The 13288-nt window shown below is 36.3% G+C and overlaps 1 protein-coding gene across 2 annotated transcripts in view; it reads right to left on the bottom strand.

Moving 5' to 3' along the window:
* Nucleotides 1-13288, bottom strand: part of COL8A1 (collagen type VIII alpha 1 chain) — a 160624-nt gene that overhangs the window by 47143 nt on the left and 100193 nt on the right. For both annotated transcript variants that reach the window (NM_001850.5, NM_020351.4), the window contains one exon: nt 7054-7178. The gene's annotated coding sequence lies outside the window, so the exon portion shown is untranslated. The remainder of the gene's footprint in view (nt 1-7053; nt 7179-13288) is intronic.

Genomic DNA, 13288 nt, shown 5'->3' with positions numbered 1-13288 from the left:
ATATTCTTAATATATATAATTTTATTATAAGCATATTTTCATAAATGCATTAAATCAGGAGGATTTTGGCAATAATTTGGATTTTTTAACTCAAAGAATGAATGTCCCATTATTCTTCAGCATATCAGCAACTTTAGAAGTAGCCAATTTTTCATGATAATAGAAGAATTGTGTCTTAAAAGTGGCTAAGAACGCTCATTTCAATTGCTTGACTCACTAAAGAAAGGAAGCTGAGTAATGAATGAATAACCTGGTCTGAAATCATTGGTCTGTTTTATTTTTAGTTTTAACTTTATAAGTGTTCATTGTGAATGTGCTTTCCACAGTCACTGTTAGCGTCTTTCCTTCATTGCGTAGGACTGCCCACAACCAAACTAAAAATTCGAGTTATAATTAAAGTTCTAGTAGGATTCAAAATACCTAATTTTTCGTCAGTAAGATTCAAGATGTTTCTGGATTCTTTAAGATATTTTTGAGTGATTTTACTTTTTCCTGAGAAGATAAATTTTCTTTTCTTTTTTTCAGTCTCACTCTGTTGCCCAAGCTGGAGTGCAGTGGTGCGATCTCAGCTTACTGCAACCTCCACCTGCCTGGTTCAAGCAATTCTCCCTGCGTCAGCCTCCCAAGTAGCTGGGATTACAGGCACCCACCACCACACCTGGCTAATTTTTGTATTTGTAGTAGAGGCAGGGTTTCGCCATGTTGGCCAGGCTGGTCTCAAACTCCTGACCTCAGGTGATCTGCCCGCTTTGGCCTCCTATATTGCTGGGATTACAGGTGTGAGCCACCATGCTTAACCCTGAGAAAATAAATTTTCTGTTCCTACTTTCTCATCTGCAAAATATTGGCATTGGAGGAGGTAATCTAGAAGGCCCCTTCCAGCTCTAATGGTCTGTGGATTTATGATTTAATGATTAAATGGCACAAATAACTCATTTCTGAATTTTCTTTGTAGTAAAATTTTAGTATTCATGAAAGAAATTATAAGACCAAATCTCTCTCCATAAATTTTTAAATGGCATCTCTAAAATAGCTCTATATTTCACTTTTTAGGATCACTGAGACTCTATCCAGCTCAAAGATGTGTTTATGTATTTCCACCTGACATTTTACACACTTAGGAGCCAATCATAAGGCCAGTTTTAAGTAGATGCCATTAGAAATGATTGATGGCCAGTTTATGTTTTAAGGTGAAAGAGGTACACTTTAATGATGCTCTACTTTTCTGATTGCCACAATAACAACTTTCAGCTTTACCAGCCCGTATTACAACTTTGATCTTTACACTCATGTTCATAGCTGCAGGTGAAATGCTTTCTCAAGAAAATCTTGAAAATTCAATCCAATTTTTAACCTTTCTTGTCTAGAGAAGTTGAATAGCCTACAGGTTGCTTTATCTTGAATCAAAGAAAGGGCAATAACACCTGGAAGGAAGAACCTATTACATTTATTATTATTTTTTAAAAATTTTGTGATTGAGAGCAAAATTTGCATTTTACTCCCCCTGGACAATTTTGTCTTTATCACCTATCGATTTTGGAGTCAATTACAATATTTTTTCTGTTTACCAATTATAAAAGCAATATATGTTTTTTTGAAAAATTTACAAAAGAGTATACATGAGGGCACAAAACTGTCTAAAATTCTGCCACCCAGAGTTGGCTATTAATATTTTCTTTTTATTTAATTCTAGGTAAACATGAACATTAGGAAACTGGGGCCAGGTGTAGTGGCTCACGCCTGTAATCCCAGCACTTTGGGAGGCTGAGGTGGGCGGATTCCTGGAGATCAGGAGTTCAAGACCAGCCTGGCCAACATGGCGAAACCCTGTCTCTACTAAAAATACAAAAATTAGCCAGGTGTGGTGGTGTGCACCTGTAGTTCCAGCTACTCAGGAGGCTGAGCCAGGAGAATTGCTTGAACCCAGGAGGTGGAGGTTGCAGTAAGCCAAGATCATGCCACTGCACTCCAGCCGTGGCAACAGAGCAAGAATCTGTCTCAAAAAAAAAAAAAAAAAAAAAAAAAGAAGAAAAAAAGAAAAAGAAGTTGGCAACAAGTTATACATTCTATTTTGAAATATTCTTTAAACAATTAATATATAGTTAACTCATGCATAATTTTAAATCTCTACCTTCAAAGATAACTTATCACTATTATTGTATAAAAGTTTATAAAACTCTTTAGTTTTCATTATTTTGTGATTTTCTTAGAGCCATTTTGATTTAGGTTCCTTTTGTTTGTTTGCTTTCATCTCTCCTTGTTCTAGAAAATATTTATGGTAATTTCAGCACCTCTTCTTCCAAGTGAGTATAATGGAGGAAAGCAAACCTCTGAAATTCAAACTATGTAGTTTATTTTTTAATTTTTTTTTACATAAGACCTTTGCTTTATGAACAATAGGTAAATTTTAACAAACAGGAATAGCACTATAAAGATTTCTATTGGAACATAAAGAAACCCTTTAGAACATGAATAGTGACTCCCCTTCTATTTAGTCATAAGTATGCATTTTTCAAAAGCATGTTCATAAACCTATCAATCAGTGTTCTCTTTGAGAGTAGAGCTCTGGTCTTACTGCTCAATATTCCCTCAGTGTCTAGAACTGTTCCTGATCCATTGCATTTTCTAGGTAGATGCTTGTGGAGCTTAAATGAATAAAATAAAATCAATTCCAAATATTCTTACACTGTCATGATAGGTTGAGTTATGATTTTAAATTGCTTTGAAATAAGAAGCAGTAGTGGTTAAGACCTTTGGTTCTGTTCCCTCTTGCTGATTTTCAAAGCCCTGTAAAGATGAAGTGAGAGAACCTTGGTGTAACTCTTAGCATGGTACTTGAGCCCACATAATAACTGCCAAATAGATGCTAGTTTTTAGTTATCTGAGCTATTTTTTACTATACATATTTTTTCTTCTAAATAAGAACTCATTTTTCCTGAGGACTTTCAGTTAGATTGTTCCATAACAGAAATAAGCTATTTATTTAGGGATTGTATGTAAAATATCTTAATGACTTTGTAGGTAGAATAAAACATACTGTACAACAAAGTTATATATAATTATTATTTTACATAGTATATATCAGCCTAACAGTTTAATGTCTCATTCATTCATAATGTTTAATGGGAACATATTTGAAAATAAAGAGTGCTATAGAGCCATACTAATTTATAGTTCTTGCCATAGCACTTTTACTTCGAAGTCTCTCAAGTATTCAACGGTATAAAATGGACCCTTTTAATGAATGAGCAATTTGGGGCATCAACTAATGAAGCCAGATTTTTTCCTGCATGTGGAAGATGTGTGAGAATGCCCAAATCATTGCTGCTAATCTACCTTGCCCTCTATTTGACAGCATCTTAGGGAATTTGTATCAGCTACATCAAGCCAGGTACATAAACAAGTCCAGTACTGTGAAATTAGTATGTGGGCTCTGAACAGTGGAATCCTCTGGTCAGTGCTGTCGCATAGGGACAATGTGAGTCAAATATCAACTTTATGTTTTTTATTATCATATTAATAAGTAAAAAGAAACAGGTGAAATTAATTTTATTAAACCATATTTGGTAATATTTATTAATATATTTATACTTATTACTTTTATTTAACTCAAAATATTAAAAATATCATTTCAACATGCAATCAATATATAAAGTATTGATGAGACATTTTACATTCTGTTTTTCATTCCAAGTCTTAGAAATTTGGTGTATATTTCACACTCACAGCACATCTCAATTGGGACTAGCCACATTTCATATGCTCAGTACCAGAATGTGGTTAGTGGCTATCATATTGAACAGTGCAGCTATAGTCATTCCTGCTTTGCCACCATTGGAGGTGCCAGAGGGTGGCAATGTGGTGTAGAGGAAAGACAAAGACCAGCCGGGAATCTTAGACTATGACTGTTCCTGACTTGAAAAAGTGATTTAGTTTCACTGGGTCTCAAATTCCTCCTCTTTATAATGGGGATCGTTAATAACTGCCATACTCTTTTCAGGAAGCTGCGGGGAAGATTAAATAAGATATTGTATGTGAAAGTGCTCTGTTAGATCATAAAACACCATACACATGTAAAGCATTATTAGCTCTTTTGTTGTAGATTTACTCTCATGACTTGCCCAAGGCCACATTCCAAGTTGGTAGGAGAATGAAGGATAGAATCTGGGGCTTCTGACTTCCAGCCATCTGCTTCAGCTAAAGGCTATTCATACCAAGCTAGTTTTAAAATTTCTTTTTATTTTTAAAAGTCTTTTTATTTTAAAAAATTGAGGAAGGAAGACAGTGGCAGTAACAAGTAAATTCCATATTGAACAGTAAGGGTCTTCTTGGCCACAGTCATAATGTTCTGCAGTAAAATTATATGTACAGAATATTTATATACTTATATACTCAGAATTACAGTCATCAAAAATTGGAGTTTATTGCTGTCGTATAATATAAAATCCCGTGTTCTTCAAAGTTTCAAACAACTTTTAAAATGAACTGTGGTTTCCCCACTCTATTTATTTCCAAAGTGTAGTACAACCACAAGAAAGCCCTTCCGTAGTGGGCTTGATTAATAAAACAGATATGGATCAATTCAACAGGTTTTCCGTGGATATTTTTGGTTACAGATGTAGCTCATTAATTCCCATGTGTGGGACACCACCTCTCTAGTGTAAATCCAAGAGACACATTAATAGCTGAACAAAAAATGGGAATAATTCAGTTCAACCCATATTATTTAGTACATACTATGTGTAAGGCACATTAGGTATCTTAATGAGCAAAAAGCTTGTTTTTATGATGATTGTTGCTTAGAGGTATATGTTATTTAACTTGAGGAAAATATATAATCTGTCTACCAAAATGTCTATGTTCTATCATTCAGGAATCTATATTTTTGGAAGGTAAAAGGATCAGAAAGAAAACTCTAGATTATTAAAAATAATTAAAAAAGTTACATTCTGTGCTTTTGGAGGGCATGCAAAAGATTAGTTATCATGATCTATTTCCATTTTCTTAATTGTATGCCTATCATGGTGTTCATATTTAAGCTTTTTTGGTCATTATCTACATTTGTTTCAAATACATTTCTTCATAGAACTTAATAAACTACATAAAACATTAAGAGTTTTATACTATGTCAAGTTAAACCAAGTCCATTTTCACTAAGAAAAAGGTGTACATTCAAAAAATTCTTTATTATTTTTTCAATCAAAATTCATTTAAAAATACTTTCAGCTGGTTATTTTCACTGACAAACTTATCATTTGTAAGCTTCAGGCCTGCCTGAATTGATGACCATGTTGAATAAATGTGATTTTTATTTTTACTGCTGAATCATTGCTGATGACCATTGAATGAAATAGTTTATTGAATGGCCTTTAAGTTTTATTGCTTTTGCACCCTAGTTTAAAAACAAAGAGCTTAATTTCTTAAAAGTTCAATAAAATGTATTTTTGATATTTCCACCAGAACTTTACAAGCAATTTCTCTCCTCTGCCCTTTAATAACCACCTTCTGCATTTTTATGATTTAGTTTAACATTATTATTATACTTTTTTTACTGGGAGAGCTCATCAATGCCCTTGGCAGTAAGATTTTGTTACAAGAAATCCAGAAGCCGAGCCTATCACTGGTTGCAACAATTACAAAGTTTCTCTGGGTTGAGTTCAGAGGCTTACTCTGACATTATGGCTGTTACCCACATCATGCCTCTTTCCTCAGTTTTTCTAATATCCACGAGTCCTATAATCTGCTGCTTCAATGAGCATGTATTTTTTTATTCCCTGGGTTTGCATTATAAATATTTCATTTGGAGAACATCTGGCTTTGATGGAATCCAGCCAAAATAATTAGTGGTACCTATATTAAAAATGTAATGCCTTAGTAAAATCATTAATGTATTTGCATTTCTCCAGGAACTCTAAATGGATGCATTCTAGACAGGATGCAGTCAATGAGGGATTAATGATAGGGCTAAATGCTGTGCTTTTCCTTTCGTTCAGGTGTCCACCCTGTCCCAAAAAGAACAAGAAAAATCTGGGGAATCTTAGCAATTCATTCTTTTAATTATGAAATAAAATTAAATAGACTATAAAAACCATTGTACTATTATATATCAGGAAATATTGAGTCGTGTGTCCAAAAGTCACACTTAAGACCAGGCAATAGTAATAAGCATAGGATGGCTGTGGATACTATGAGATAATGTCTACTTGTCAGAAATGGACGGTATGTTGTGGTTTTTTTTTTTTCCATCAAGGTTTGAAAGTTAATGATGTACTTTATGTTTTTATTGCTTCTGCTGAGAGATCAATTAAGGAATAAAAGGGATTCTGGCATGCTGTTATTATTTTTTGCTGTGAGTATATTCAATACCACATACAAAGAAAACCATTTCCATCATATCATGCTCTGTTTCATTCATCCTAGATTGTTTTTAGGAAAATTTAGTACATATCACTTCAGTCGTCTGAAAGGAATCATTTCTTCATTACAGCTCATAACTTAAAACTATAAAATATCAGCCAGAAAAAAAGTTGCCCCAATTAAGAGAAATATGATAATGGTATAAAAACATATATAGACATGACTGAGAGATGATAAGATTATTTTAATTTTCCCATTTGCACTGGAATTATTTATGTTACAAATCTCCAGATCTTTTATTACTTAAAACCCTCTGCTGAATCATGAAAAGAAGCTTAAGTTCACAATTTTCCTCTGCAAAATCTAACTCCTAGCATCTGGTGAACATTTGGATACCTAGTCAAGTTCTATGGAAATGATTATTTTAAGACTCTATTCAACATGCCTAGACTTAAAAATCAGCTAGGATCACACTCTGCACATGTATTTTACTACAGGGGATTTGAAAACCTAATATTAGTAGCAATGTTCTCAAGGCTTTTGCAACGATGGGGATAGGGATGGGAGTCAGGACATGCAGGCAGGCTAGACACTGAGCATCTGCCAAGGGCCCTTGTGCTCCTGGACAGCGATCTGCGGCTTTACCTGTGGACCACCCAGACCACTGCCCTGCCCTCTGTTGCTCCTCACACTTACATTTATACTTGACAGGACTGCTGAATCAAATCAAAGACCAATGTCCTTGCTGGTGCCTTCCTGTGACACCTCTGGGGCTGGTTTCTGTCTCTTCAGCAGATGCTGCTCTGCCTTCACAACAGCTTCTAAAGTAGAAAAAAGAGGATACTTTTACTCAAGGCAATTAAAAGTGCATTATCAAAGTATTATTCTGGATCATAGGAGAACTTGCATAATAGGAATGTATAAATACATAAAATGCTATTAGTTTATTTTTCTGCTATACTATATGTAGTTTTTGTTCAAATAAACAACAAATTGTATATCTTTATTGCTTTTCATGGTTATATTATATGGTAAGTTCTCACCAGTTCAATTTCCATTAATACATATTGGAGATAATTGGAAAGACTTTGGGCATTTGCCATAGATAATGCAAATTTATGAAGAAATATTAATAATACCTCAGGGAAAAAAGTTAATTTTACTTAAGAAGGGTCAACTTTTTAAACAATACATTTCCTGTCAATTTACATATAGCAGTATTTGAGTTATAAATTATTCTTGGTTATTTATCAAATCACTTGTGATGGGGCTTTAATATGGTGACACTTTTATGTTTTCATATGAGTTTTTGGCACAATTTAACTAGTTGAATAAACTTTGTAAGTTCTCTCTACCCTAGACTTTTTACAAAGCATATGGGACTTGTCTCCAATTAAAATGTATTTCAGAAATTTAACTCTGTTTTGGGTAATAGATACTCTCTATTTTATTTTCGTGTGTTTCACAGGAACTTGTTTAAGAAATATCGGCCAGGCACGGTGGCTGACGCCTGTAATCCCAGCACTTTGGGAGGCCGAGGCAGGTGGATCACGAGGTCAGGAGATTGAGACCATCCTGGCTAACACGGTGAAACCCCGTCTCTACTAAAAAAATACAAAAAATTAGCCAGGTGTGGTGGCGGGTGCCTGTAGTCCCAGCTACTTGGGAGGCTGAGGCAGGAGAATGGCGTGAACCTGGGAGGCGGAGCTTGCGGTGAGCCGAGATCGCGCCACTGCACTCCAGCCTGGGCGTCAGAGTGAGACTACGTCTCAAAAAAAAAAAAAAAAGAATTATCTACATTTGCTGTTCAAAAAATATTTTAAGAGGAACAACTTCAGTCATTTAGATAAATACATCAGTTTGAAAGCCAGTATTTGTTATAAATGCAGAACTGGGTATCAAATTTAGTAAGTTCGAAATGTGATTTAAGTGGTATATTCTAGAGTAGTACTGTCCAATAAAACTTTCTGTAATTATGAAAATTTTCCATCTTTACACTATTCAGTATGGTGGCTACTAGTCAAGTGTGCTACTGAGCACTTGAAATATGGCTAGTGTGATGGAGGAACTTAATTTTTAGTTTTACTTAATTTTAAGTAATTTGAGTTAATTAATTTACCTGTGGATAGTGGCTCTAATATTAGAGAGTGTAGTTCTAGATTTTCTCTGTATTTGGTACTCAACACAAAATGAGGAAGTACTTGAATGTCTTCTATCTGCGAAATGACTGTAAAAAAGCAGTAATGTTCCTAAAGTACAAGGCCCAGGCTCTGACATGTGGCTTTCCCTACAGAGGCTACACAATGTGTGTTCAGGCCTGAAGGGTGGATACAGCAGCACCCTGCACTTTGGCTCAACTTGTAGATATTTAGACATAAACTTTGGTTTAGCCATAGGTGATTTGAGAAACTTTGCCTCTGGAAAGCCATGGGATTTCAAATTATCTTTAGTAATAAAGTTTAGTGATAGTAAATGGACTCAAGAGCTTGACTTTCTAGTCCACTCTCATGTAGTATGACATCTTGCAGAAGACTGGCAGGAAATACAGACAGATATGAAAGGAGATATACAACAAAGGTAATTGCTTCCATGAAAAAAACTCTCCAGATTCAGACTGGATATCAGGAAAAGGCCTATAAGTAATTTTTGTGCCTCTCTTATATCATTCTTCAATAAATATTTATTGAGCACCTACTATGTGCAAAGTATAATGCTTAGTGTTGGGGATACAATGTTGAAGAAATGAATTAGATTCCACTCTTCCCTCATGGTGCTGAACTGCATTAGACAATAAGATTTTTTTCAATTTTTCTTCTTCTTCTAAAAATTCATTTTTTTTCTTTCTAGTTATGGTGAAAATAAAACAAGGGGAAGATACATAGCATAATACAAATGCTGAAGATCACTGTTATGTACATGTCATGTATCTTATTCAGTTTAACTCTCTTTGAACAACTTTCCCAGACCCACACCTTGGTAGCTGATGAAACTGCTTTTTGAAATGCAATAGTGGAAGCAGAGAAAAAACAGTGAAGATGCCTAAATTGCCGTTTTTCAACCCTGAGACTAAGGATCATTTAACATTGAGTGCTTACCACATATTTTTAAAAGAGGTTCTTTTCTCTCTATGATCCAGAAGAATGTCCTTTAAAATAATTTCTAATTAAAAGACATTTTTGTTGCTATTAATGTGATGACACTTTTTTACTTTGTTATTCATAATACTGTGAGAAAGAGTGCTACAATTACTGTTTATGAAATGAATCAAATTATTTAATATTCAAGCACCATTGCAGGAACTAAAGGGAACCATTAGCTACACAGGCAATGTGTAACTCATTGTATTTCAGTTAATTTTTGAAGAATGAGCCAGAAATTTGGCACAGTACTAAGCAAGAATTATTTAGTTAGATTTGTTTTTTCTTCTCCACACAGCAGCTGCATAATTAAATGTATGGTCTGACCTGCATTTATAAAGTGAATTTTCAAATATGTCACTGATGGAAATCTAAGGATGAAAAGAATTAAGAATCAAATTAAATTAATGCAACTACAATACTTAGTACTTAAAGTATTTGAAGATCAAAAAATTATTGTTCTAAATATATTAATTGGTAATGTCCTTGATGTTGTAGACAGATGCTTAAAAATAATTTTTAAAAATGAATTATGAAGCAATGAAAGAAACCAAAAGATAGATAAGCATATATAAATACTTAAAAACCAGTTGCAGGTGAAAATATCATGAACAAAATTAAAAGGTGAAGGGGAGTTTGCTTTATTCCTTAAAAAATGTTATACCTTATGGAGGTTTTAAAACATGGCCAGATTCTTTGTTTCTCCTCTGTGTTCTCTCCCATTGAATCTGGGAGAGCTTATGAACTGACCAATTGAGCACAGTGGAGCAGGCATTATGTAACTTCTGCAGCAGGATCACAAAAGGCCGTGAGGCTGACCTTTTTTGCTGGAACATTGTTTTTTGGAGCCCTGAGTCTCCAAGTGAGAAGTCTGGCTACCTAGAGACCACTACGCAGGAGAAGCCATTTGTAGGCACTCCTGTTGACAATGCCAGCAAATCTCAGCCTTCCTTTTATCACTGCCAGGGTACTAAACATGTGAGTAAAACCATGTTGGGCTCTTCAATTAACCAGTTGCCAGATGAGTAAGTCATGAGAGCAGAAAAAGCTTCTAGACCTACCTCAATTCCTGACTACTAAAATTGTAATATAAAATGTTTGTTGTTTTATGCTGCTAAACTCTGATGTGGTTTATTATGCAGCAAAGATAGCTGGAGCATACCCTCTTGTATTTATTATATTTTTACAACAGAAAGTTGGAAAACTGAATGTGGAATACACTCTGGGAAAAGTTGTTTGCAAGAATTAAAAAACAGTCTTAGTATCCTTCCAATATAAAGAGCTCTTACAAATCACCAAGAAAAAAATACTAACACCATATAGGAAAATAGCCAATTAAATTTACAAAAGAAGATATTAAAAAGCTAATAAACATATTAGAAAGCCTTCAATCTCATTAGTAATGAAAGGAAATGCAAATTAATCTATGAAATTAAAATTTCAGTTATCAAATCAGCCAAGATGAAAATATATTTAATGTTGGTTGGGTTAAGTGAGAGTATAAATGGCACAGACTTACTGGAAAATAAATTGACATTATATACCCAGAGTTTTAAAAATATTTATATTATTTGATGCTTCTAGGAATTCAGATAAGGAACTAATCAGAAATAAGGTAAATAATATAGAAAATGTTTACTACAGTTCTATTTATAGGAGTAAAGATATGGAAACAAGCTAAAAATCAATACAGTTAAATAAATTATGTATTTTATATTATAGAATATTGTTTTATTATTTAGAATGGAATTTTCAGTATTTTTCCTTTGTTAATTCTGGTCTGGGCACATGATAGCAGAACAGAAAAATCTTGGTATGGACACATAGACTGAGCTTTGAATCCTAGATTTGCCATTTACTTTTCCTGGTGATATGGTTTGGCTGTGTCCTCACCCAAATCTCATCTTGAATTGTAGTTTCCATAATCCCCACATGTTGTGGGAGGTACCCAGTGGGAGGTAAGTGAATCATGGGGGCGGTTACCCTCATGCTGTTCTTGTGACAGTGAGTGAGTTCTCACAGGATCTGATGGTTTTGTAAGAGGCTTCTCCCTGTTTCACTTATACTTCTCCCTGCTGCCACCATGTGAAGAAAGACATGTTTGCTTCCCATTCCGCCATGATGGTAAGTTTTATGAGGCCTCCCCAGCCATGCTGAACTGTGAGTCAATTAAACCTCTTGCCTTTATATATTACCCAGCCTTGGGTATGTCTTATTAGCAGCATGGGAACAGACTAATACAGTAAGTTGGTACTGGTACTGGGGTGCTGCTATGAAAATACCTGAAAATGTGGAAGCGACTTTGGAACTGGGAAACAGGCAGAGGTGGGAACAGTTTGGAGGGCTCAGAGAAAGACAGGAAAATGTGGGAAAGCTTGGAACTTCCTAGAGACTTGTTGAATGGCTTTGACCAAAATGCTGATAGTAATATGGATAATGAAGTCCAGGCTGAGGTGGTCTCAGATGGAGATCAGGAACTTGTTGGAAACTGGAATAAAGGTCACTCTTGCTATGTTTCAGCAAAGAGACTGGCACATTTTGCCCCTGCCCTAGAGATTTGTGGAACTTTGAACTTAAGAGAGATGATTTAGGGTATCTGGTGGAAGAAATTTCTAAGTGGCAAAGTGTTCAAGAGGAAGCAGAGGATAAAGATTTGGAAAATTTGCAGCTTGATGATGCGATAGAAAAGAAAAAACAAATTTTCTGGGGAGAAATTCAAGCCTGCTGCAGAAATTTGCATAAGCAATGAGGAGCCAGATGTTAATACCAAGACAATGGGGAAAATATCTCCAGAGTATGTCAGAGACCTTCATGGCAGCCTCTCCCATCACAGGCCCAGAGGCCTGGGAAGAAAAAATGGTTTTGTGGGCTGGCTGTTTGCACCCTAGGGACTTGGTGCCCTGTGTTCCAGCCTCTCCAGCTATGGCTGAAAGGGGCCAAGGTACAGCTTGGGCCGTGGCTTCAGAGGGTGCAAACCCCAAGCTTTGGCAGCTTCCATGTGATGTTGAGTCTGTGGGTACACAGCAGTCAAGAATTGTGGTTTGAGAACTTCTGCCTAGATTTTGAAGGATGTATGCAAATGCCTGGATATCCAGGCAGAAGCCTGCTGCAGGGGCGAGGCCCTCATGGAGAATGTCTGCTGGGGCAGTGCAGAAGGAAAATGTGGGGTTGGTCCCCCCACACATAGTCCCCACTAGGGCACTGCCTGGTGGAGCTGTGAGAAGAGGACCATTGTCCTCCAGACCCCGCAATGGTAGATCCACCGACAGCTTGCATTGTGCACCTGGAAAAGCCACAGATACTCAATGCCAGTCATGAAAGAAGCTGGGAGAGGAGGAGCCAAGATGGCCGAATAGGAACAGCTCTGGTCTACAGCTCCCAGCGTGAGCAATGCAGAAGACGGGTGATTTCTGCATTTCCATCTGAGGTACTGAGTTCATCTCACTAGGGATTGCCAGACAGTGGGCACAGGTCAGTGGGTGCGCGCACCGTGCACGAGCCAAAGCAGGGCGAGGCATTGCCTCACTTGGGAAGCGCAAGGGGTCAGGGAGTTCCCTTTCTGAGTCAAAGAAAGGGGTGACGGACAGCACCTGGAAAATTGGGTCACTCCCACCCAAATACTGCGCTTTTCTGACGGGCTTAAAAAACGGCGCACCAAGAGATTATATCCCACATCTGGCTCAGAGGGTCCTACGCCCACGGAATCTCGCTGATTGCTAGCACAGCAGTCTGAGATCAAACTGCAAGGCAGCAGCGAGGCTGGGGGAGGGGTGCCCGCCATTGCTCAGGCTTGA

The sequence above is a fragment of the Homo sapiens genome, chromosome 3 (genome assembly GCF_000001405.40).
Source record: "Homo sapiens chromosome 3, GRCh38.p14 Primary Assembly".
Classification (NCBI taxonomy): Eukaryota; Metazoa; Chordata; class Mammalia; order Primates; family Hominidae; genus Homo; species Homo sapiens.
The sequence above is the reverse complement of the archived record's forward strand: the minus strand, read 5'-3'. Positions and strand labels throughout refer to the sequence as shown.